This window comes from Homo sapiens, chromosome 7, assembly GCF_000001405.40.
Source record: "Homo sapiens chromosome 7, GRCh38.p14 Primary Assembly".
Taxonomy (NCBI): Eukaryota; Metazoa; Chordata; class Mammalia; order Primates; family Hominidae; genus Homo; species Homo sapiens.
Window position 1 is genome coordinate 7,436,989 of NC_000007.14, and position 27,272 is coordinate 7,464,260.

At 37.9% G+C, this 27,272-nt stretch overlaps 1 protein-coding gene across 13 annotated transcripts in view, besides 1 other annotated feature; it reads right to left on the reverse strand.

Moving 5' to 3' along the window:
- Positions 1-27,272, reverse strand: part of COL28A1 (collagen type XXVIII alpha 1 chain) — a 205,677-nt gene that overhangs the window by 98,795 nt on the left and 79,610 nt on the right. For 11 of the 13 annotated variants that reach the window (XR_926936.4, XM_011515360.3, XM_011515358.4 and 8 more), the window contains 7 exons: positions 19,056-19,124; positions 16,452-16,520; positions 15,331-15,399; positions 7,430-7,501; positions 6,597-6,665; positions 3,802-3,873; positions 406-474 (listed from right to left, as the gene is read on the reverse strand). Coding sequence is in view for 12 of the 13 variants with exons in the window: in XM_011515360.3 (XP_011513662.1) it covers positions 406-474; positions 3,802-3,873; positions 6,597-6,665; positions 7,430-7,501; positions 15,331-15,399; positions 16,452-16,520; positions 19,056-19,124 (489 nt within the window). In the remaining variant the exon portion in view is untranslated. Of the gene's footprint in view, positions 1-7; positions 268-405; positions 475-1,643; positions 2,330-3,801; positions 3,874-6,596; positions 6,666-7,429; positions 7,502-15,330; positions 15,400-16,451; positions 16,521-19,055; positions 19,125-27,272 lie in introns of those variants that run through there. The other 2 variants (XM_017012133.2, XM_011515366.3) reach the window with 2 other exon arrangements.
- Positions 1,664-2,863: an enhancer, noted in NCBI's record as "P300/CBP strongly-dependent group 1 enhancer chr7:7478283-7479482 (GRCh37/hg19 assembly coordinates)". NCBI's record gives its function as "activates an origin of replication core promoter dependent on BRD2, BRD4, P300/CBP, MED14 and CDK7 cofactors, with strong dependence on P300/CBP, by STARR-seq in HCT116 cells {active_cell/tissue: HCT116}" and the evidence as "EXISTENCE:reporter gene assay evidence [ECO:0000049][PMID:35650434]".

Sequence of the window (27,272 nt, forward strand, 5' to 3'; positions counted from 1 at the left end):
GATCGCAGCACTGCACTCCAGCCTAGGGGAAAGAGTGAGACTGTCTCAAAAAATAAACCAGTCAACCAACCTGAGTGGATATCTCTTCTGCTAAACTCTTCAATTATAAATCCTGGTAGATTCTTCTGAATAAATGTTCTAAATTCTTACCTGCATTAGGGTTTAGGATTTGGAAGACGTAATGAAGGGTAAAGTGACAAGCTTGGGACCAAGAGCACAAAATCTGGTTTCTAGTCTTAACTCTGCTGCTGGCTGTAGTTTGCTTATCTGTGAAGTTTCAGAGTTAAACGGAATCATTTCTAAGGCTCTTCCAAAACTAAAATTCTAGTTCACTGGTATCATGATTTTTTTTTCTCCAACTGCCAAAGGGTCAAGAAAAAGAAAATAATCTCCAAGAATATATACCTTTGGCCCAGGTGGTCCAGGAATTGATGTTCCAGGCATTCCAAAAGGGCCCATAATGCCCGGTTCACCCTTAAAAAGAGCAAAATGCTCACTACATTTCAAGCAGAGAAAGCACATATAGAGACAATATTAAGAAAAGTACAGAAATGTCTGCAGATTTTTAAATTATGTTATGACCTCTATCTGTTTCAAAGACCAATGTGAAAATAATTTGAGCATCTTTTGTAACCACTGCTAGTTATTGACTAGTAAGATTTCAGTGCTTTTAAATAACTATGTTCAATTAATCACTGAATGTTAGGAACATTTTATCTCTTGTGCAGCCTCTTATTAGCTAATAAAAATTATGCAATTCATGGTGCTTCCTTTTTGTGTTGTATGTTGGGAAGCTCAAAGAGAATTTTTTTTTCAATATAGCAATTATCTTCAGCAAATGTTTTAGGGTGTACTTCTAGGTTATAACTCTTTTTTCTTTGTTGTTTTATTTTAATGACCAAAGGTAAAATAGTCTTCCATTCCATGTTATCTCACATCCTTTTTAAGAAGTAGAACCCCTATGGGCTGGGTGTGGTGGCTCACACCTGTAATCCCAGCCTTTGGGAGGCCGAGGCTGGCGGATCACTTGAGGTCAGGAGTTTTGAGGCCAGCCTGGCCAACATGGCAAAACCCCATCGCTACTAAAAATACAAAAAAAAAAAAATAGCCAAAATTAGCCAGACATGGTGGCATGTGCCTGTAATCCCAGCTACTCAAGAGGCTGAGGCAGGAGAATCACTCAAACCCTGGACGCAGAGGTTGCAGTGAGCTGAGATCGCATCACTGCACTCCAGCCTGACCAACAGAGCAAAACGCTGTCTCAAAAAAAAGAACCCCTATGATTTTAAAAAAATGACATTTTTAATAGAAAATTTTAAACATTTAGTGGGGGAGATGTCTAATATTTAGAGTCTCAAAGACTCAATCTGGAGCAACAGGTAATTCTCCTGTTCCATCTGGATCTAGACAAGTGATTCTCAGATTTTAGAAGCAGAGGAATTATCAGGAAAGTTTGGTAATGCACAGTTCTGGGTTCAAACTCCAGAGATTCTGATTCAATAGCTCTAGAGGTTGGGGCCCAGGATTACGAAATTTTATGAAGCACCCCTGGTGAAAAACACTATTCCAGAGCAATTGTCACCGCACACCGCAAGGTGTTCCAAATGACCCACTGGGATATAAAGAAAATATTACAACTTGTCTCTATATTTTTATCTCATCAATTAAAATTTCATTTATATAAATTCATAACATATTAGTATGATAGCTTATAAACAGAAATTACAATTAAAAAATTAAAAATCTGTGGCATGTGATCAAAATTTTACTGGAGGGGTTTATAATCAAAACAGTTTGGAAACTACTTCTCTACGGTAGGTGGGCCAAATCCAGCCCACCCCCTTGTTTTGTACAGCCTTGAGCTATGAACGGCTTTCACATTTTCAAGTGGTCATTATACAAATAACTAAATATCTTCCATTTTGCCTCTTGGGCCACAGGACCTAAAATATTTACTATCTGGACCTTTACCAAAACAAACAAACAAAAAACACTGTGGAGATGAGTCGTGGAGAATGAGCTGTATCTATGCTATGTCTAAACATGACCCTCTAGGTTTTCAGACTGCTGACTACTCCTGCCTCCGTCTGACTCATGTCCTCTGAAAATTCAATTGCATGAGCTTCCTTTTCAGTCATCCTGCTTCCTCCAGCAGGGACTCCATCAGTCAGATTCACCAGTGATGACTCCTGCCCAGGGCCGTGTTCATCTTCAGAGCTGAAGCCTCCCGCTGTATTGATTAGCCAATACAACCAACAAGCTGAGCACACTGGCCCACTGAGACCCAGTTCTTGCCAAGGCATGTATGTGCCAGTCCTTAAATCCAAACCTGGAAGGCAATGGCACAGGACATGACAAGAATCGGGAAACACAAAAAAACCCCATCCAAGCCTTTGACAAAGGAACAGAACATGAACCTGTTAAAATTCTTCACTAAAACCAAAGGAAAATCAAAATTATGTCTCTAGATTTAATTTTACTTCTTTTTTCAAAAAAAGAGGTCAATTACTTTTATACCATGAAAAGTATCATGGAGAGTATTAAAATACAGGTCTCAAATACCCTGTATTAAGGGGTGATTATGCTTTAACATATGGCAATTCTTCACCTTCATCTTTAAAAACAGCTTTATTTCAAAACACAGAAAAATGTTCACTTTGAAATAGAGTAACTAGGACATAAAGACTAATCTGTTATTAATACTAATACAACACATCTGTTACATAGTGGCACTTCTCATAATGTGCTTCCTGAACTCCCTGCAGCACAGGGCATTTACTTGAGAAGCACAGATTCCTGGGCTCACTCACCACTGAATCCAGAGAGCTGAGGATGGTAACAAGAAATCTGGATTTGTAATCATCCCCAGGTGATACCGATGGACACTGAATGGACACTGAAGTTTAAGAGTCACTGGTGTACAGGTGATGTTTTGTATCTGATGTTGTCAGCACCATTTTTTAAAAATGTGCTTTTTAATCATCTGGTCCTAAAATATACTCCTTGTCTCTTTCTCACAATTAGTATCTTTCTAGAGACATGAACTCTCTTACGTTTGCAGTTTCTGTTTCCTGACACATTCAAATGACCTTAATGGTGGGTCTCTGAGGCTAAGTCAGGACACATACTTAATTGCTCACCTCACAATCCCCTTCGCTTCTTCCTCAGCACTGTGTTATCAACAATTTACCAGGACATAGATCCCCTACTTCCCATTTCACCATATTGATTTTTTTCTCTGAATAATTCGATGTATTCAACACTTACTATATACCAGGAAATGTGCTAAGTGCTTTATTAACTCTTTTAGTCTTCACAACAACTCTGTGAAATAGAGCATATCGTTATCTTCTTTCTATAATTGAAGCGACTTGCTCCAAGAGGTTCATGGCACAGGAGGATGCAATCAGCCTTCCAAAGAAGAGCCTTCATCATCACTGTGCTGCCTCTCACTCTCAGGCTTTTGGGTTGTTTAGCAAAGCAAGATTATGAAGAACTGATAGCTCCTATGGTCCCAATTTTATCCCAACTTCTGAATATTTGGTTGTTACTAGAGAGGACTGACAGACAAATTAGGAACATAAGTATTTCTATGAGTATTACATATTTTATGCAATCTATTCCATTCTATTGTGGTCTGGGAATAGTATGTTTTCTATAGGTTTCTTATTTTGGGGTATTTGTTTTGTACTTGTTGGGAAGGAAACAAGGAATCCAATTTTCAGTGGAAATTTAATACTATATTAAAACCAGACACAATACAAACTCCTCAAAGCGTAAGTCAGAATACAAGAAACATACCTTTGGTCCTTCGGGCCCTGGAAGTCCCCTCTGTCCTTGATTTCCTTTGCTCCCTTTCTTGCCTTCGTCACCCTAACAAAATAATTATGAAAATATAGATTTTCGTATGGTATTAGCAACCTCCCCTAATCTAGCAAGGACCATAGCGGAGCCGGATTCTCGACTAATACCAATTTTAAAGTGGTGTGCCCTGAGCACAGCTCAATTGCGCAGGATTCGTCAATGTTCTTGAGGAGATCAGATGACTTCAGATTGTTCAGCCTTTACTATTTATTCAATATGATTTGCTATTTTTCAAAAATCTAAGTTTTGTATCTTTCTTTTGGAACTTTTGTTTGAATTTATAGTTCATTTTCACCCTTGGTCTATTAACAGATGGTTCTGAGACATTCACAGTTTCAGAAATGAGTACTATCTATGCTTTTTCATGCTGTTTTTCAATTTTTCTATTTCAGGTTTAAAAGATGAAATGAGACATTTTAAAAATCACAGCCCTATTTCGTCCTCACTGGGGAGTCTAATTCTTTCCCCCAAAAGAGACCAATAGTTTTATTGGCAGGAAGATGCTTGAGCATTAACCTGGGGCAGAGCTAGGAACTGACTACTAGATGTTGCCCAGCAGGGTTGTGTAAAACAGTGCTCTCCCAAAAGAATTCCTTTACCTTCAAAACTATCTTTCAACTAGGGTTCAACTGCAAGGCGCCATATCCAGGGATGTACACAGCTCAACAAACGAAAAAAAAAAAAAAAATTCCTCGTGGTCTGCAGCTGAGGCTATTTAAATATTTATACTATAAATTACTATACCATGGTTTTTAAAGTTGAGCAACAGAATCACCTGGAGAGCTTGTTAGACCACAGATTGCTGGGCCCTCCACCCAGAGTTTCTGATTTAGTAGGTCTGCACTGAGGTCCAAACATTTGCATTTTTAACATTCCCAGGTGATGCTGATGCTGCTGGTTCAGGGACCACACTTTGAGAATCATTAGACTATACTAAGGTCATCAGCAAAGCAGGCACTTTATTAAGAAGAGATGACCTCCTGTAGAATCCACAGAGGTTTCCATGGTCCACACTAATGTAAAGCAGTGGCACCGGTGTAAAAAAAAAGAGTTGAATGTCCAAATATCTTATATCATTATCACTTACCAGTAGAGACAAAATTCAACCACAACTCTTTATTTTCTTCCCTCCACTACCACTAATTTAGGTTATTGACCTAAATCACCCCAGAAATGAACAGCAGGAACCCAATTACATGTAATAAATCGCCAACACTGAACCATGGTATACCTGGGCTATGTAACATGTTCCTACCACTCTTCTCCAATAGGCTTTCATAAGCCACAAGTCACCTCAAGCCACAAATTCAGTAGCCTCTCTTTCCAATGCACATTCTTCTTGCCTTATTGGTGGCATCTGATACCACCCATTGCTTTCATCTTGAAATCCTTTCTCCTCAGTATCCCTAACATGCTACCATTCTGCCTATTCTGTAGAGTTGTTGTTCTCCAGCTACCTCACAATGTGGGGTTTAAACCTCAACTCTCTTCCTTAGAGACATTGTTCATTCTCACGGCTTCAATTATTAACTCCAAGCGCCTATTTTCCAAAAACACATCCTAAAAACAATTCTCCTGAATGTTAGCAGATCGGCATTTCTAAAAGTATATTTCACGTGATGATGTTATCCCCTCCACCTCACCCAAAAAGGATCCCCGAGACTGGTAAATCAATAAACAAAAATGTTTAAAAGCCTACAAATATATTTAAATTTCATGTCCTCACATTTAAGATTAAGGATTCAATTTTAGTGAGTATGTTCACAAGACATCAATTACTATTTTAGTAGAATTATGAACAGAACACTAATATGTATACAAATTTTATTTTTACTTGACTTGTATATAATCCATAACAATCTTTACATGGGAATTGATAACTACACATAAAAATAGAAAGAAGCCCAGGCGCGGTGGCTCACACCCATAATCCCAGCACTTTGGGAGGCTGAGGCAGGTGGATCATGAGGTCAGGAGTTCCAGACCAGCCTGGCCAATATGGTGAAACCCCATCTCTACTAAAAATACAAAAATTAGCTGGGTGTGGTGGCACACACCTGTAGTCCCAGCTGCTTGGGAGGCTGAGGCAGGAAAATCGCTTGAACCCGGGAGGCGGAGGTTGTAGTGAGCCAAGATCGTGCCACTGCACTCCAGCCTGTGGGACAGAGTGAGACTCCGTCTCAAAAAAAAAAAAAAAATTGCAGGAAGACCTGGAATCTTAGGGGCTATAGGTTATGTCACTAGTTGTCTTATCCTATTGATGAATTTGTATAGTCTCATCTTAACATATAAAAATGTTATTCAACTAGCATTTCTACAGTGGTTAAAATAGATTTATGCCAAGTTGTGAAGTGAAATGGCCATTCAATAAAGTGATATTTCTTATTGCATGAGATTTTATAAAGAAAATTTATGGACTGTCAAATCTCAACGATGTATCTCAAGGCTTCTTTTCCTTCCTATGTGTTTTTTAAATGTCAATCTGACCATTTATTGAGAAAACGTGTGTCAAACTCTTCTCTATGCTGGGTCTTACAATAGACGTTAGGAAAATAAAAGTGAATCATATACGCTTGCTGTCTTCCAAAAGCTTCCAAGACAGTATTCATACTTTTAAGCCAGACATAAACACATTGACATAGTAAGAATAACAATCAAATTTCTTCTAAGTTGGCTCCTCAGTATGAGGACCAGAACACAGGCTGCTTCCACCAACACTGTCATTTCCATACCTTGGGGCCAGGCTGTCCTTTTCCAGGTGGTCCTTCTGGGCCTCTTGCTCCCGGAAGCCCCGCTTCTCCCTAGAGAAAATGACACTGATGTGTTAGCTGACCCTCCAGTAGACAGACTGTACGTATCATCCCACCTTGTCTCCTTTTATCATTAGTGGATTCAGCTGAGACTCTCCAAAACACACCATACCTTCACTCTAGTCTCAAAATCAATTTGGAAGTTTATAAACTTGAAATAAAGTAACATCAAACTCCAGTTTAACTCAGAGCAGCTGCAATATCATGAAAAAGTAATTTATCAGCCAATTTCCAAAGCAATAAGCTCATTTTCTTTTGGCTCTTCATTCGCATTTGGTAGATTTTTTAAAAAACAGGGAAGACCTTCAGCCTTTCCATCTGCTGTTTTTTTTTTTTTTTTTTTTTGCTACTTTTACTGAAAAATGAGTATTTCAAATGTCAACACAAAATACTTCAGGAAATCTTTACAAAGGCCTTATTTCCTGTATGCATTTACAGACTTGCCTCTTAGGGGGAGGCGGGGGGAGTGGCTTTCTCTTAAGTTTAAATTAATGTGCTTTCTAGAAATCCTGAAGAAACTAGGCCATAACCAAAACACCAGACAGAAGGCAGAGGATGTGAGACACTATCTCAGCCTTTGAATAGGCCACTCCTTCTCTCAGGGAGAAGTGGAAAGGGACATTTGGGATTGTGAGATATTTTTTCTTAAAGAAACTAAGTTTGTCCTGAATGGTTTTATTCGAGCTCCTGCAGGACCAAGATATCAGTTTGGTTCAACAGTTCCTACTCCAGTAATACGAAAAACTTGGTGTTACCTTCTTCCCTGCAGCTCCATCTTCTCCTGGTACTCCTGGTTGTCCTGGGAGCCCTATTGAGCCTGGCTCTCCCTGGTGAATGAACAAATATTTTATTTCCCTAAAGTTCATACCTCCATTCTGAGGTACTTGCAATTGGATGTATCTTACAGTGTCTGAGAAAAGCCTCCGAGAAATCTCATTAGCAATTAATACTAAACTATTTGATCTTGGGAAGCTACTTAACATCCCTAGGCCTTAGTTTTTGATTCTATTTTTATGGGCTGAATTGTGACCCCAAAAAGATATGTTGACATCCTAACTCTTTGTACCTGTGAATGTAACCTTAATTGGAAACATGGTCTTTGCAGATTTAATCAAGTTAAAATGAAGTCATTACAGGGGGGCCCTAATTCAGTATAAAAGGTGATATAATTTGGCTCTGTGTCCCCACCCAAATCTTATTTGAATTGTAATTCCCAGTGTTGGAGGAGGGGCCTGGTAGGAGGTGATTGAGTTATGGGGGTGGACCTCCCCCTTGCTGTTCTTATAATAGAGTTCTCATGATATCTGGTTGTTTAAAAATGTGTGTGTAGCATGCCCCACTTCACTCTCTCTCACTCTCCTGCTCCTCCATGTGAAGATGTGCCTGCTTCCCCTTCACCTTTTGCCAGGATTGTAAGTTTCCTGAGGCCTCCCCAAAAGTCAAGCAGATGCCAGCATCATGCTTCCTGTGCAGCCTGCAGAACTGTAAGTCAATTAAACCTATTTTCTTTATAAATTACCCAGTCTCAGGTAGTTATTTAAAGCAATGAGAGAATGGACTAATACAACGGGTACTATAAGAAGAGGAAAATGCCTCTTGAAGACAGACACACAGGGAGAGCACCATGTGATAAGAGAGGCAAAGACTGGAGTGAGCGTCTGCTAGGCAAGGCATGCCAAGGATTGACAGACACCCTGAGAAGCTAAGATGAGACCAGGAAGCAATCTCCCTTACAGGTTTTGGAAGAAGCATAACCCTGCAGACTGATTTTGGACTTCTAGCCTCTAGAACTGAGAGACAATAAATTTCTGTTGTATTAAGGCACTCAGTTCCTAGTACTTTCTTACATCAGCTCTAGAAAACTAATATAAAAGTGAAATAACAAATTTGTGCCCTAACAACACTTCCAGCTCTAATATTCAGTAATTCCACTTGCTTTCGAGTTAATTTACGATTAGTAATAAATCCTTTAAAATGTTCAGGAAAAAAATATGCTACTTTCAATCAGTTTAAAGCATCTTTATGGCATTTATTAATAGCAACAAAATGGAAAATAATTGAAAGCAACTTCAACTAACCTAAACAAGCCAGTGAAAAAAAGCACAGTAAATCTAACACTAAGTAGATGGAATGATAAAGATGAGAGAAGAAAATAATAAACTTGAAAACAAAAAGTAAGAAGATTCATAAAACTTAATGCCTTTTTTTTTTTTTTGAGATGGAGTTTCGTTCTTGTTGACCAGGCTTGTTCAGTGGTATGATCTCAGCTCACCGCTACCTCCGCCTCCCGGGTTCAAGTGATTCTCCTGCCTCAGCCTCCTGAGTAGCTGGGATTACAGGCATGTGCCACCACACCTGGCTAATTTTGTATTTTCAGTAGAGACGGGCTTTCTCCATGTTGGTCAGGCTGTTCTTGACCTCCTGACCTCAGGTGATCCGCCTGCCTCAGCCTCCCAAAGTGCTGGGATTACAGGTGTGAGCCACCGTGCCTGGCCAGTAATGCCTTTTTAAAAACTAATAAAAGTAAATAAATTTCTAATAGGAATGATGAGAAAAAACCTAGAATAATAGGTTTTTTAAAAGATATCAATAAACAATATCAAAAATGAAAGACATAACTATATATATAGTAAAAATGTTTTAAGTCATAGAAAATTGGTGATAATTTTTTCAAATGTATTGGAAAACAATAATAATCTTTGAGAAAAATATGAATTATATAAATGCTGTAAAAAGAAATGAACAAGCTAGATAAACCAATAATATTAAATAAATTGAGTCAGTGATTAAAAGTCTCTACTTTCTCTCTCTCCAAGATCACAAGCTTAGTTGGTTTTACAGTCAAGACTTACCAAACTTCTAAACTTTTGAAGAACAGTTATTCCCTATCTTATACAAACATTTCTAAAAAAAATAGAAAAGAGGGACGTCTACCTAATTTATTTTATGAGGCTTATAAAGCCTTTTCAAAAACAATTATACAATGGCAAGACAAGAAAACAAAATTATAGACCATTCTCCCTATGAGACATAGCACAATTTAAGCTTCCAATCAAATGCTTTAATTTCTTCCAGTGCCTGTACAAAGTTTCCAGGTCATAATGCAGGGATTGAGAAACCAGGGCAAGTTCAGGCATCTCTCTAAGGAGACAAACATGCATCTGGGTGAACCAAGGTATCAAAAGTTCACAGAGTAGATTACCAGAAAGAGTTACACAGAGAAAACTATAAGTATCTGCTGAGCATCCATCTTGAGTATTCAGCTGAATATTGCTCAGTACATGTGTGTGAAGAAACTACCCAAGGCCAGGAAAACAACCAACTTAAAGGATTAGAGAGAACTGACATTGAACCAGGAATAGTGCCTATTTCTACTGGCAAGAAATAAAACCTCACAATTCTGAGGGCATAAATTGGAGTTCTAAAAAGGGTCTTACCTCAACAGTGGGAAAAAATTAACCCTAGACTAAATGTTGCTGTAGTCTTACCTAATAAAACTTAAAAGCAAGACCCAAATGGGTCAATCTGTTTTCAAGTAACTAAAAAACATCCAAGAACAAAGCTCAAAATAGAGGAATACAAAAATATCCAACACAATAAAAGGTAAAATTCACAATGTGGGGCATTCAATAAAAAAGTATTCAGCCTGTACATGCCTGTAATCCCAACTACTCAGGAGGCTAAGGCAAGAAGACAGCTTGAGCCCAAGAATTCAAAGCAAGCCTAGGCAACATAGCAAGACCCCATCTTTTAAAATATTAATATTAATAATAATATTTAATTTAAAAATAAAAAATAGGCGTTCAAAAAGGCTGAAAAATATAGCACTTTGTGTTGAGAAAAATCAATCGATTGAAACTTATCCAGAAATAACACCAGTAGTAGAATTAGGAGGTAAGAACATTAAAACAGTTATTATGACTATACTCCATACAGTCAAGAAACCAGAGGAAATTTAAAGCATGTTAAATAGACAAATGGAAGATATATGAAGGATACAAATTAAAATTTTAGATTTGAAAATTATGATGTATGAGATAAAAAACACTGGACAGAATTAAAAGCTGATTAGTGTCATGGAAGAAAAGATTAGTGAACTAACACATATAGCAATAAAAGCTATCCTAAATTAAACACAGAGAGAAAAGAGACTGAAAAAGAATGAGCAGAGCACCAGTGAACTGTGAAATAACCTGAAACATCCAAATAGCCAGGCCAACATTACTAAAGCCCATCTCTACTAAAAAATACAAAAATTAGCCAGGAGTGGTGGTGCCGCCTGTAATCCCAGCTACATGGGAAGCTAAGGCACTAGGATCTCTTGAACCCAGGAGGCAAGGCTGCAGTGAGTCAAGAGCATGCCACTGCACTTCAGCCTTGGTGAAAGTGAGACTCTATCTCAAAACAAAAATAAAATCCAAAGATAAGTAACACTGGAGTTCCTGAGGTGAGGAATTGCTATTTCAAGAAATACTGGCCAAATATTTTCCAAATTTGATGAAAACTATAACTCATAGATCTAAGAATATCAGTGAACCAAGAATACCAATGAACTTCAAGCACAAGAAACATATCTAAGGCACATTATAATCACACCACTCAGAACCCATGATGTACAGGAAATCTCAAAAGCAGCCAGAGAAAAAAAGACATGTTGTGTAGAGAAACAAATATAAGGATAACAACACATTTCTCATCAGAAACAATGCAAGTGAGAAGACAATAGAACAACATCTTAAAAGTACTAAAAGGAAGAAAAAGCAACTGCACACTATAATTCTATAACCAGAAAAAATAATAAGCAAAGATTTTTTTTTTGGAAGTTGATTTGGCAATTTCTTGGAAAGCTAAATGAATACCTACCTTCTGACCTAGCCATTTGACTTCTAGGTGTTTACCCAAGAAAAATAAAAACAAATGTCCATACAAACACATATAAAAATGTTCATTTATAACATTTTATTTATGATAAAATTTATAAAAATTTATAAAATTTATTTAAAATTTTTATTTATAATATTCCAAATCTGGAAAAAAACAAAATTTATACACAGGTGAATGGATAAATAAATTGTGGTATATCCATATAATACAATACTATTCAGCAATACAAAGGAATGAACTGTTCATATATATGCTACAACATGGATCTTAGATTTTGCTGCATTAAAAGAAGCCAGAAAATATCATATAGTATATAATTCCATAAAAATCTAGAAAATGCAAACTAGTCTATGATGACAAAAAACAGATCAATGGTTAGCAGATAATTGGAAAGCAGATCTGTGGGAAGCCTATTAGTGAACATAGAAGAAGTTACAGAGGGATAGAAGGACAGATGGTAACTTCTGAGGGTTACAGAAATATTTATCATCTTGATTGCAGTAATGATTCCAAGGGTATACACATATCTCAAAACATCAAATTGTATACTTTAAACATGTGCATTTATTATATGCCAATCAGATAATACAGTTATTAAAATAAAAGCAAAAATCCTGAATAAAAGATTAGTCAGTTGAATGATCATCATAAAAAAGTACACATAATGAATTGAGTTTATCTCAAGAATGCAAGGATGGTTTGACATCTGAAAACTCTGTAAATGTAATGTATCGTATTAACAAGTTAAAAGTGGAAAACAACACAATTATCTTAGTAGATGCATAATTTGATAAAATCCAGTAATCATTTATATTTAATAAGTAACTTTTGGTACAACCAAAAAAGAAGGAAGCTTCCTTAACCTAATGAAGGGTATCTATCAAAAACTTTCAGCAAACATCACACTTAAGAGTGAAATTTTAGAAGCACTTCTTTTGAAGTCATTTCTTTTAAACATTGTACAAGTGATCCTAGCAGTACAAAATGATAAAAAAAAAATCAAAGAAGAGCTAAAAAATAATAGGCAAAACTTTATATTCAGACAGTATGATTGTGTACATAGGGACTGAAAAAGCAAGAGATTCCACAAACAGATTTCACAGGGTGGCTGGATACAAAATCAACATGCCAAAAAACAAAACAAAACAAAACAAAAAAATTCTCCTATAGACCTATACTAGTTAGTTAAAAGATATAGAAAAAAAATTCACAATTATAAAAATTTCTTCAAGGTATCTGGAAATAAATTTAACTAAAAAAATACAAGACCTTTATGGAGAAAATTACAAATATTTTCTTGAAAAATTACAGCTTTACTCTGTGGTGTGAAAGACTTGCTATTTAATCTGTAGATTTAGTGCAAACCAAATGGGGTATCCTGTTAAATATGACAAGCCAACCCTAAAACATGTATCTTAGAGTCAATAATAACCAAGAAAGAAGATGAGAGTATTTTTCCTTTTAGATGACAAAATATATTATAAACCTATTATAATCAAGACAAGGAGGTAATAGCACTGAGAGATATAAATAGACAAATGGAGTAGAATACACAGCTCAGGCACTGATACTCAAAATATGGAAGCTTCATATATGAAAGAGGTGGTACTGCAAATCAGTGTGGTAAAGATGGACTATTCAACAACTGATTCTGGGGTACTTGTTTATTTATAGTAATAAAAAATAGATCCCTACATTGACCCATACACAAAAATAAATTCCATGTGGGTTAAATCCCTAAATTTTAAAAACAAAACACTAAAATTTTCAGAAAAATGCATAAGAATATCTTTATCAATCTCAGGTCAAGAAATGTTTTAAAATAATATTCAAAAATCACAAATCACAAAGGGATAGAAATATAGAATTTAAAACTTCTGTATACTAAGAAGTACTCTAAGTGAAAAAAATAAGTCAGAGCCTAGGAGAAGATATTTGCAGTTTGTATAACACAGTAAGATATATTTGTACACACTTCATATTTGCACAGATTTAGAGAAAGGAACATCATCGCCTACTGCTAGCAGGAAGGTAAACTGGCACAAGCATTTTGGACAAGATTTTGGTAGTATCACAATTGAAGACTCGCACGCTCTATGATCTTCCCATTCTACCTCTAACTGTCTATCTTCTACAAGTCAAGAAACTTGTCCTCCAACGTGTGCAAAAGGAAACAGAATGTTTGTGGCAGCATTGTTGGCAAAAGCAAAAAGAATGACAAGCAATTTAAATATCCACCATCATGAAGATGAATAAATATAAAATGAGATATTTTCATACAGTGGAATACTATAACGCGATTAATATCAATGAATTAGAGGCATACAAAAACACAAATAAAACATAAGGCTGACTATAAATATATTGCAGAATGATATATCATGTAAAGTTTAAGGACACAAAAAAAGTGATATATGGTTTATGGATAAAAATGTGTGGGAAATTATAAAAACTTCAAAAGAATGATAAACACCAAATTCATAATAATGATTATGTGTGAGGAGAGAAGGGAGGGCAGTGGGATTGGGGAGTGCCAGCAGGGACCTTCAGCCACACCTACAATGTTTCTTTTAAAAAGTCTAGAGTCAGTGTGGTAAAACATTAACATTTGATAAAGCTGGGCCGTGGAATACATAGGTGCTCTTTGTATTATTCTCTGTATGGTGAGTATATTTGAAATACTTCTTTTTTTTTTTTTAAGATGGAGTCTCACTTCGTCGCCAGGCTGGAGTGCAGTGGCGCGATCTCAGCTCACTGCAACCTCCGCCTCCTGAGTTCAAGTGGTTCTCCCGCCTCAGCCACCCTAGTAGCTGGGACTACAAGCACGCATCAATACGCCCAGCTAATTTTTGTATTTTTAGTAGAGACGGGGTTTCACCATGTTGGCCAGGATGGTCTCGATCTCTCGACCTTGTGATCCACCCGCCTTGGCCTCCCAAAGTGCTGGGATTACAGGTGTGAGCCACTACGCCCAGCAGAAATACTTCATTTTTTAAAGTAAGTTTAAGATTGCACGTCATAAGTAGTGAAACTGAGATTTAAACTTGGGTACTCTAACGGCTGAGCCTTACTATATCGTATATTGCCTCTCTGCAATTGACATATATATAACATAATATGTTTGTATACATACATACACAGAGGCATATATTACACATATGTATAAACATATGTCAAACTTGGCACTTAGTATACTGTGTAGCACATGGAAACCATGTAAAAATGGCAGCTATTATTACTATATTAATACTTTTTTATCCTTTGTAATCATGTTTATGTATGTAACATGTATATTCTTCTTAGACCTACATCTTATATATTCTTCTAATACTCAAATGCTCGTAAGAATATGACAACAACAGAACAATGGTGAAGTTGAGCGCTCAACTGGCTCTCTAGATCCTATATAACTTCAGGATGACTTATCGAAACTGTGAAGGGTAAACTAAGTATTCGTTCATTTATTCAGCAGTATTTATTGAGAATCTATCATGTCCCGAAAGCTGGGGATTCTATAATAAACCAAGATAAACAAAGTGCCACCCTAGTGGAGTATATATTTTAGAGCAGCACTGTCCAAGAGGAAAATAAAGCAAGCCATACGTGTAATTATAGCTTTTGCAGTAGTAGTAGCCGCACTTAAAAAGTAAAAGGAGCCCATTATGTAGAGTTAGATAACACACACAGAGTCTGTAAGGCAATTGGATATAAAGGAAACCTTATATAATGTTACATAAAGTATCATATCACTTCTGAGCAGCAGTCAACTCACCTTTGGACCTTGTACTCCAATTCCCACTGGTCCTCGAGGGCCTGTAGGTCCCATTTGGCCTACTTCTCCCTAGTAAGAAAAGAGTTTAATACAGCAGCAAAGTGAAAATAATATATTCCTGCTGTTGATCTCCTAAAACCTGTCTTATATCAACAAAGTAAAACAGTTTCATGTGCTCAATTCATATATATTGCCTGAAATCCCTTCGGGGGATGGATTTGCACCAGATTTGGAATATATATGTAAATGAAAAATGTACATAATGTTTGATGTATATATGGTCTGACTTAAAATATAGGCCACATAGCATATTCAAAATTGATTTTAAGGAGCCCCTTGTGGAGGGTATCTGGAAAAGATAGGCAGTTGCATTCTAGAACAACTAAAATTGGCACAGGAAAAGCCAAGGTAACTGCTGATCAAGAGCAATGTCATAAGCAGAGAACGCAACTCAAGCTTTCAAGGCAGGCCCCAAATCAAAACTCTCAAGAATAGTCAGAGTGGTCCATTGAGCAGCTTCTCACACGGACAGCTCTAGGGAGTGTGTTCTAAGGTGAATAGTCTCAGAGAAGTATTTTATTTATTTAACAATGATTCATGATTCTTAGAAGCAATATTAAGGATAACTAGTTAAATAAGTGCCATGCTCCTCCTCAAGGAAAAAATAATAGTTCCAATCTATGAGATAGTTTGATTCCCAAGTAAATAAAACATTTTTATTTGTTAGGTCATTTCTGACCCCATCTCTTTAGCTAAGGTTTTAGTAGTTGCACCTACTGTCAGAGTGGTGGTGAGAATGAAAATTAGCCAACCTAGAGAGACACATAACCACTGGTTGCCTCTATTAATATTACTGTTTGAGTTGGTAGAATAGGATCTCATAAATAAAAGTAACAAAGAAAACAACAAATGAAAATTGTGTAAATAAAGCTTTCTTAAAGCATAAAGAATACATATTACATTTTCTAAATTGTCAGGAATATCAGTAACATTTTGCATTAAGTAGAGATCTCTGATTTTTAAGTTCATTCTACCTGCTGTCTTCCCTTGCACTGGCACTGATCAGAAAACAGCAATTATACTATAGATATATTAAACTCCGCTCTCATTTACAAAGTTACCTTGGAACCAGGTAAGCCCTGTCCTGCGGGCCCTTGTGGACCAGGTGGACCAATAGGACCTTGGATTCCCTTTAAAATAAAATTTTATAAAATAGTGTTAGTGAAATGAAGTAGTTTCAAATCCTCTAAAGTGAAACTTTAGTTCATACCCCATAATAAGTTACTTACACTCAATAAGCATTTGTGGAGTGGGGTGCCAGGGGCTGCTAGTTAAACCACAATTTGCATTCTTCCCTATTTCCATATTAATAGAAATTTTAGCTGGCCCGTATATCTGCCTAGAATAAAGACCACGTTTCTCAGTCCCTGTTGCAGCCAGGCGTGGCCATGTGGGCTAGATTCTAGCCAATGGGATAGGAATGAAGTGATGTGTGTAACTCCTGGTTCATGCTAAAAGAAGAGGTATGCCTTCTCCTTCCCTTTTCCTCTTCTTCAGTAGCTGGAATTAAGAGAGGGTGGCCATCCAGGATCATGCAGATGAGGAAAGCACCCTCAGTATGGCAGACTATCAAGACCGATTAATAGAGGCAGTAGTCAGTTGATTAACAGAAGCAATAGTCAGTAGATACCAAACTGAAGAAGGTTCAAACACTTGACTCCCTCCTTCACAATATAAAGGAGGTTTTTATACATGGGTATAAAAAAGGATATGCACATATGTGTACATTTGTATATGTGGTTGTTTATTTTTCACTCTATTTGTAAAAGATCTGAGTTGATCAAGCCTCCAAATATTTAACAAAAATCTGTGGGCCATTTAAGAGAGATTGTAAACATGTTGCTGGAAACAGAAGTTCCCTCATAAACACATGAGGGAAAACATTCATTTTTATGAGAGAAATAGGAAGATCTAACATAACAAGAATTCAATGGATAAACACATCAAATTAAAGAACATTGAATAACTGCATAGACAGAGGTTAAATTTAAGTAGAATTTATATCATTTGTCTTAAAAGGTAAATAAATTCTTTTCTTGCTCAGATCATTTTACAAATAGAGATCTCATTTCCAATAGAGATCAGCTCTGTAAGGACACATCTACCTCGAAATTTTTTTTTCTTTACAAAAAGAAGAAAAGGGGGTAAGAAAATGAAAGAAGTCCGAGACTTTTGTTTTGTTTTTTTTCCCAAGCTGAAGAACAACAACCTCCACCAAGGAACAGCATTAAAGGCGACAGGAAGCTGTAGGTAGGAGGTCCAGAATTCACAGGCCATCTGAACAGACTTGTCTTCGAACCTCATATTTAGCCCCATAGTGGTCACTCAGCACCAGGAGCACTGCAAGACCCAAGATGTGACAACACTGTCCGGCCACTTTTGGGATAAGTAAGCCCCTGCTAAAACCAACAAATAAACTAAAAGGCTTGAGAATGTCGGCTGGTATAATCAAATGATGATATTTGAGTAGCCCAAATGTCCAGCTCTTAATTATTATCTAAATATTTATTTATACATTTATCTTGGCTTCTTCTGTACCTTAAGATTCCTAATGTGTTAGACTAGGACCTCTGCCAATGGCAAGGGAATGGAAAAAGGAGTCATATCCAACTTTGCTGTTGTTTGGACTAGCAAGAAAAGTAATAATAATAATAAATTAGCAGCCAATTAGAAATAAACCCAAAGTAAATCTCAACAATGACACCGGAATTATCTCATTTTTTAAATTCTTCCCTTCTCCCACTACCCTAGATACAGAAACTAGATACAGAAAGCACTATTCATTCTTTAAGCAATAGAATAATTCAAACCTTACTCATAAATCTTAATCAAACCTGACCTGCCACTTTCTAACCAGGAGATATTTAGCATAAAACTGAATTTGTGGGTTGCTTTGATTAATAAGGCTGCGTAAGTATATGGCAAACAACAAAGTATATGGTAAACAAAAGACTACATGGTAAACAACAGTAGAGAGTACTGTTATACTATCTTCACATTATTTAGATTTATCACAATACCCAGATTTTCCAAAAGTTATCAGAAGATTTTGGAAATGGTTCTAATCACGAATGTAGACATTCTTACAGATCTTTCTTTTCTTCTCACCAAGAGGGGCCAGGTGTCATTTATAAATTATATCTGTGTTTTGCTTCTATTCCAGAAGTTTGCCCCTTAAACTAAGTGGTTATCTCTGATCCTGGTCCAAGTTTTAACTATAATACTTTTTTAAAAAATGGATATGTGGCTAGTTAGAGTGGTTGGTAGGGGGATACCACTCTACTCCATTGGGAGAGAGTGGGATTTAATTTTCACAAAGCTTCAAGGAGAAAAAAATACACAAACCAGCAGGTGAGTAAACTATTGTTCCCAAGGGGAACTAAAAATATTGCACCAAAACATTTACCTTGTTAATTAGGTTTTAATGTTAAAAGTCACAGCATCAAGAAACACACTACTTATTTTTTAAGCCTTTGGAAGTTCTAAAAAATAAAATCTTCTCATGAAACCATCTTATCCTTCCCTATATTCACTTCTGGACTTATACTCCACTGCAATTAACTGTCAAATATACTCATAGATGTTTGCAGGACTGGCCTTCAATGAAGACCAGGATTGGGCTGGAATGTTCTGCACTGAAGGGAAAGGAAGAATGCATTAATTACCTGTTCCCCTTGACTCCCGATTCCAGGGATACCCATTGGTCCTTGGGGTCCCACAGGTCCTATATCCCCCTGCACAGAAAATAAGCCAGGAAATATAACAATAAAATAAAATCTTATTATTTCATACTTTGCTAACCTGGAATTGGGCTGTGTTAAAATCTATCTTTATACTATAAAAAAAATTCAACATGGAAAATTATAAAACTTTATTTTATTCCTTTAAAAGTTTATAATTCAAATTCCCCAAAATAGTAAATGACATTTTTGCTATTCAGTCTAAGTTGGTGAGCATTTGTATAGGCTTATATTTATCAATCATTTTCTCACAAACAAAATTTCCTGAATAGTTGTTATGACACAAACATTTCCTGCTAAGATTGTAACAGAAATATTTAAAAGTAGAAAATTCATAGGATATAATAAAAATAGAATGAGAGATAAATTGAAGAAAAATATTTTTAAATTTTCTAAATACCCTTTCCCTCCAAATCTTATTGAAAATGCATTTTGAAAATGAAGAAATGATCTCAAGTGAATGCAGCAAAATTAAACAGCCCTATTTTCTTCTTCCATGAAATTGAGAAAACAAAATTAAAGTTACCAGCAAGAAGAACATAATTCATTCTTTCTGTGTCTTTATACAGGTGTTTGTTGAGTGCCCATTATAAGCCAGAAAGTGTTCCAAACACTAGGAAAACAACAGTGACCAAAACAGCTCAAAATCTCTGTCCTCCATTGAGCTTAGATTTTAGTAGGGGAAACAAGATGGTAAACAAGACAGGTAGATAAAATAACTAGTATGTTGAATAATAAGTGTGAAGGAGAAAAATTAATCAGGGAAGAGAAGAGGCAGCGATGATTTTGGTTAAGATGTCCAGAGATGAAGTCACTGACGAGAGGGAATGAGCCAGGTAGAAACCCAGAAGAAAAGCATTCCATGCAGAGAAACAGCCAAAACAAAGATGATGCCTGACATGTTCCAGAAACAGCAAGGAGACAGTGCGGGTGGAACCATCTCCATGAGGGAGAGCGGTAGACAATGAAGTCAGAGAATTATGGCAGTGGAGTCAGGTAGAAGGATCAGTGGGGCCTTTGAGGCCACTGTAAGGACTTGGCTATCCTCTGAGTAAGTTAGGAAGCCACTGGAGGGTTTTGAGAAGGGAAGTGAGAGATCTGACTTGGTTTTTAAGGCCCCATCTGGAAGCTGTATGGAGAACAGACTGAAGGGGGTCTGCATGAGAGATGATGGGGCACAAACCAGAATGTTGAGAGTGGAGGTGGTGGGGAGTGCTCAAAACCTGGATAATGTTGAAGGTAGAGTGATGGGATTTGCTGAGGACTGAAAGGACTCTTGGCAGAATAGAGTTGTCATTGACTGAGAAGAAAAAGCCTGAGAGAAAAGCAAGGTTTGAGGTGGAGGGTGATATCAGGAGTTCAGTTTTGGACATGTTTAGTTTGAGATCCCTAAAATGAACATCCAAATGGAGATATCAAGTAGGTGGGAGAGGCCTGGGATGAGAACATAAATTTGGGAGCCCTCAGTATATAAATGATATTAAAGGCCATAATTGAGTGAATTTGCCAAGTAATAGAAAAAAGAGATGGTCCCAGGACTGAGCCCTTTAAGCACTCCAATCATTAGAGGTCAGAGAGATGAAGAAGTCACAGCAGTGGAGACTGAGAAGGAAGCAGCCAGAGAGACCAAGTGAAGAGAGTGTTTCAAGAAGGTGAGGGATCCATCTGTCAAATGCTACCAACAGGGCAAATTAGTTGATGACAGAGAATTGACCGCTGGATTGAGTAACATGGTTAACATGCTCATTTTAATGGCAGTTGTATTTAGACTACATTAGGGCCGCAAAACTTTTAAACAGTTGGATAGCAGATACTTTGGGCTTGAGGGTCATAATGATGTCTCTCGTAATTGATCAATGCTGCTTTGGTAGTACAAAAGTAGCCATAGATAATATATAGTGAACAAGTATACCTGTGGTCTCATAACATTTTATTTGTAAAAACAGGCAGCCAGCTCAACAGTTGGCCAATGTTTGAGCTAAATAAATATGTTTTTATGAAGAAAAATGTATCATTTGCTGGGCGCCGTGGCTCACGCCTATAATCCCAGCACTTTGGGAGGCAGAGGTGGGCGGATCCCCTGAGATCGGGAGTTCGAGACCAGCCTGACCAACATGGAGAAACCCCATTTCTACTAAAAATACAAAATTAGCTGGGCATGGTGGCACATGCCTGTAATCCCAGCTACTCAGGAGGCTAAGGCAGGAGAATCATTTGAACCGGGGAGGTGAATGGTGCAGTGAGCTGAGATGGTGCCATTGCACTCCAGCCTGGACAACAAGAGTGAAACTCTTGTCTCAAAAAAAAACAAAACAAAAAACAAACAAACAAAAAAAACAAACAAAAAGAAAAGAAAAATGTATCATTAGATCAAACTTTATATAACATTAAATATATAGAACCTGCACTAGGAGATGCCCTGGAATACACTACTTAGTGCTCTATCAACCTTTGATCTACATAAATATTACGGAAGGAAAACATAATGGAATCCAGTTCTGGCTCAGAGCTGGACTATTTTGATTCAGAACTTGATTTCTTATGCATCAGATATTGTGCTTAATGCTTTACATCCTTTCATTTATCCTCACAACAACCCCTGTAAAGTGGCCATCCCCATTTTTCAGATGAGTGTAAGTAACTCACCCCAGGTCACGCAACTGTTAGACGGCAGAGGTGACAGTCAAGTCCAACTCATAGCCACTAGCCAAAACCCAACTCATAGCCACTAGTTTGCAAATATTTGTTAAACACATAAGAGAGGGTCCCTTTTTGTGCAGTGTTATTGACATTTAAATACCTGTGCCATAAGTACAACTTTGTTTTGTACCATTTACATACATTTGAGAGGCCTTATCAGAGGCGTGTTTATATTATCACTTGAATCACAAACATCAAGCCCTCTGAATCTAGTGTTATATGTAAAAGAACAGGAAAGGAAGAAAGGAAAAAGAAGATGGTATTGAGGGAACAGCAGATAAAAGCTTTGCTATGTAATAATATCCTGATACTTCAGAGTGATTTCTTTGCATGACCTCCAAATGTAAAAATAACATGCACCATGTCCCAACACCACCTGAAAAAGTTAATTTACTGAACTCATAAAACAATGGTTCTGTTGTATTCAGTTCTCGCTGCTCCAAAGGAAGAAAGAGCAACTCATGTATTTTTTGGAGTATTTTGGAGTTGCTGTACAGCCAGAGCTAAGAGATTGAACAAAGAATTGTATTGCATCTAAAATTCCTATCACTCACTATTTATTTCTGCTATTTAAATACAAACAGCTAGAAGAGATAACTACCAGCAAATAAAAATAAGTCATTCAAGATTGAAACCCAGCACTTGAGATAATCATGAATATCAATTGTTATCCTAATATAATATACAATATAATTATCTGCTTAAAGGCTGATATATAAATGACTCCAAATTGATATGAGTTCTCTGCTTTTTTATACATTTCTTATATCCTTCCCCCTCTGGCAGCTTCACTTCCAATGCTCTTTATGGCTGTATCAGCCTCTAGTAGCTCCTATCACCAGCTCCATTCCCATTTCTAATCTGGTATAATCTGCAGCTGTTTTAAAGAAAACAAATAGCCAGTGAGAAAGAGAAAAGCAATCCCTAACAACGAGGAGCTGACCTGACCCTGGCAAGTAGGCCGTGGTGTCAAACATGAACAATTTGACAAATCATCAAGATCAAACAAGGCCACCCCATGACTGTGATGGACCAAGATGAAAGCCAGACTACTCCATAATTATATCTGAGCACAGACAAAAACAGCAAACACTATATAAAACCCTCAAATTATCAAACATCCTCCAATACTGGCTAAAATGAGTGACTGCTACTTCTATCAGTTATGACTCAGCCTAACTCCATTTGTCCCAACTTCTAGATGAGATTCATTAAATACTCAATCCTAAACTTATCCCCAACTATTGACAACATTAAATCCAGAGCCCATCCCTGATTTCTTAAATGCTTCCCAAAATCACCTAACACAAGTGCAAATCCTATGAAATATCTTTCATCCTCTTCCTGAGTCACTGTAGGTTCATCGTATGTGGTCTTCCTTCCTTCAGAGTCAACAAGCCTTGCTAAAACTCTGGATGGATTCCTGTTGGTCCTTGCTGGAGGGCATCAACACTAGTTTTCTTAAATGAGTTTTCTGATTTTAACCTGATTTTAAGATAATATTTTTGAGTGGGAGCCTAGGGATGGATATACACTTCTATAAGAAGGTCAAGTCAATGTTTTTTGTTGTTTTTTTTTTTAGAGATGGAGTCTTGCTCTGTCACCCAGGCTGGAGTGCAGTGGTGCAATCTTGGCTCACTGCAAGCTCCGCCTCCTGGGTTCACCCACCATTCTCCTGCCTCAGCCTCCCGAGTAGCTGGGACTACAGGCGCCTGCCACCACGCCCGGCTAATTTTTGTATTGTTAGTAGAGACAAGGTTTCACCGTGTTAGCCAGGATGGTCTCGATCTCCTGACCTCGTGATCCGCCCGCCTCAGCCTCCCAAAGTGCTGGGATTACAGGCGTAAGCCACTGCGCCCGGCCAAGTCAATGTTTTTAACAACTGTTTTCTTTACTAAGAAGAAATGTCTTTCGATAATGTCTGGATTCAAAGCTGCTTTGCTGATGGTAGAAGTCACTGGATGTCAGAACCCAAATAAGTGAGACATTACAATAAATAGAAATAACCTAATTTCTCAGATCATAACTCATCCTACATAATAACACACCTTGCATATACTAGATTTGGAGATCATCGTGGACAGGAGGCAGGACTAGATCGCAGCTCCCACTCGGATGGAAAGAACAGCATGTGGAGGCTAGCACTGTGAACCTTTGCTCTAGAACGACTGCAGGAATACATTTGGAAAGCCAAGAAAACCCACGGACTTGCTGAAGGGAATGGATTGCTCCTGCAGGACCTGGGAGACATCCCAAATATTGTGAGTGCCCAAACTATAGAAATGGGAAAGGGAGATTGTCCGCCCCTGAACACATACCCCCACTGGGGAACCTGAAGGTCTAGATTATGGGAGCTGAGTCAATTTAGAGAGCCAAGCGAAATACAGGAGTAGAGAAAGCAGCAGGAAAATCCCTGTGGGCTCAGTGGGTTCCCTAGCAAGCCATCTCTGCCTCACATCACTGGGGTCCTTGAGGATGGCTGCCAGAGGCACTGGGAAAAGCCCACAGGGGGAAGGAAACCTCCAACTGAATTCTGTAATAATTTCAACAGATTGAGAAGTCTCCTGGCCAGAACTCAGGAAAGGGCGTGAATCCAGTGTGCAGACTCCACAGACAGGGGAAGAAGGAAAGCTCTACTGACTTTCCTAGCTGGGAGGTGGGAAGCCTGGGGCAACCTCTCAGCCCTACTCACCCACTGCCTGGAAACAGACTCAGTGTTGTTGGGAGGGCACGGTGGGAGTCAGACCAGCCCTTCAGTTTGCACTGGAGCTAGGTTAGGACTATGACTGCTGGCTTTCCCCCACTTCCCTGACAACCTGTATGGCACAGCAGAGGCAGCCATTATCCTCCTAGGTATACAATTCCATTGATCTGGGAACCTCTCCCTTACCCCCACAGCAGCCACAGCAAGACCCACCCAAGTAGAAGTAGAGTCTGAGCTCAGAAACACCTAGCCTTGCTCCCGCCTAATGGTCCTTCCCTATCCACCCTGGTAACTGAAGACAAAGGGCATATACTCATGGGAGTTATAAGGCCCTGTCCACCACCTGTTCCTTCCCATACTACCACAACTGATGCTCTCTTGAAAACACCACCTCCCAGGAGGAGGCCAACCGGCACAAAAATACTGTACTAACCAACCAAAGCTAAGGACCCTCACAGAGTCCATTTCACCCACTGGAGCAGGCGCTGGTATCCATGGCTGAGGGACCCACAGACGGTTCACATCATAGGACTCTGTGCAAACAGCCCCCAGTACCAGCCTGGAGCCCGGTAGACTTGCTGGATGGCTAGATCCAGAAGAGAGATAACAATCACTACAGCTTAGCTGTCAGGAAGCCACATCCCTAGAAAAAGGATGAGACTACTAAATCAAGGAAACACCCCATGGGACAAAAGGAATTTAATGACAGCCTTGAGCCCTGGAACTTCCCTCTGACAGGGCCTACCCAAATGAGAAGGAAACAGAAAACCAACTCTGGTAATATGACGAAACAAGGTTGTTTAACACCCCCAAAAAATTACACTAGCTCACCAGCAATAGATCCAAACAAGAAGACATCCTTGATCTACCTGAAAAAGAATTCAGAAGGTGAGTTATTAAGCTAATCAGGAAGGCACCAGAGAAAGGTGAAGCCCAATGTAAGGAAATTTAAAAAATGATACAAGAAGTGAAGGGAGAAATATTCAATGAAATAGATAGCATAAATAAAAACAATCAAAACTTCAGGAAACATGGACACACTTACAGAAATGCAGGCTGAGCACGGTGGCTCACACCTGTAATCCCAACACTTTGGGAGGCCGAGGCAGATGGACTACCTGAGGTCAGGAGTTCACGACCAGCCTGACCAACATAGAGAAACCCCGTCTCTACTAAAAATACAAAAATTAGCCGGGCGTGGTGGCACATGCCTGTAATCCCAGCTACTGGGGATGCTGTGGCAGGATAATCACTTGAACCCGGGAGGCAGAAGTTGTGGTGAGAGCTAAGATCACGCCATTGCACTCCAGCCTGGGCAACAAGAGCAAAACTCCATCTCAAAAAAAAAAAAAAGAAAAAAGAAAGAAATGCAAAATGCTCTGGAAGCTCTCAGTAATACAATTTAACAAGCAAAAGGAAGACCTTCAGAGCTCAAAGACAAGGTTTTTTAATTAATCCAAACAAAAAAGAATAAGAAAATATGAACAAAGCCTCCAAGAAATCTGGGATTATGTTAAATGGCCAAACCTAAGAATAATTGGTGTTCCTGAGGAAGAAGAGAAATCTAAAAGTTTGAAAAATATATTTGGAGGAATAATCGAGGAAAACTTCCCCACCCCTGCTAGAGAACTAGATATCAAAATACAAGAAGCTCAAAGAACACCTGGGAGATTCATCGCAAAAAAGATCATCACCCAGGAACACTGTCATCAGGTTATCTGAAGTTAAGAAGAAGGAAAGAATCTTAACAGCTGTGAGGCAAAAACACCTCACTAATGTTTAATTGTAATTCTTTAATAACATATTATATCGAGCACTAAATGGAACTTTTAAGTTTTATAAAGAGTATCTACAAAAACCCTAGAGCAGAAGTAATAATAATGAACTGTTGAAATCTTTCCTGTATAGGTAACCTATAAAGGAAAACCTATCAGATTAACAGCAGATTTCTCAGCAGAAACTCTACAAGCTAGAAGGGATTGGGGTCCTATCATCAGCCTCCTCAAACAAAACAATTATCAGCTAAGAAGTTTGTTTCCACTGAAACTAAGCTTCATAAATGAAGGAAAGATACAGTCTTTTTCAGACAAACAAATGCTGAGAGAATTTGCCACTACCAACCCAGCACTACAAGAACTGCCAAAAGGAGCTCTAAATCTTGAAAGAAATCCTGGAAACACATCAAAACAGAAACTCTTTAAATCATAAATTTCACAGGACCTATAAAACAAAAATATAATAAAAAAGGTATATAGGCAAAAAATAGCACAGTGAATGGTACCTCACATCTCAATACTAACATTGAATGTAAATGGCCTAAATGGTTCACTTAAAATACATAGAATTGCAGAATGGATAAGAATTCACCAACCAATCTGCTGCCTTCAAGAGACTCACCTAACACATAAGGACTCACTTAAACTTAAGGTAAGCTGATGGAAAATGACATTTCATGCAAATGGACACCAAAAGCAACCAGGGGTAGCCATTCTTATATCAGACAAAACAAACTTTAAAGCAACAACAGTTTAAAAAGATAAAGAAGGTCATTATATAATGATAAAAGGCCTTGTCCAACAGGAAAACATCACAGTCCTAAATATATATGCACCCAACACTGGAGCTCCCTAATTTATAAAACAATTACTAATATACCTAAGAAATGAGACAGACAGCAACACAATAATAGTGGGGCACTTCAATACTGCACTGACAGCACTAGACAGGTCATCGAGACA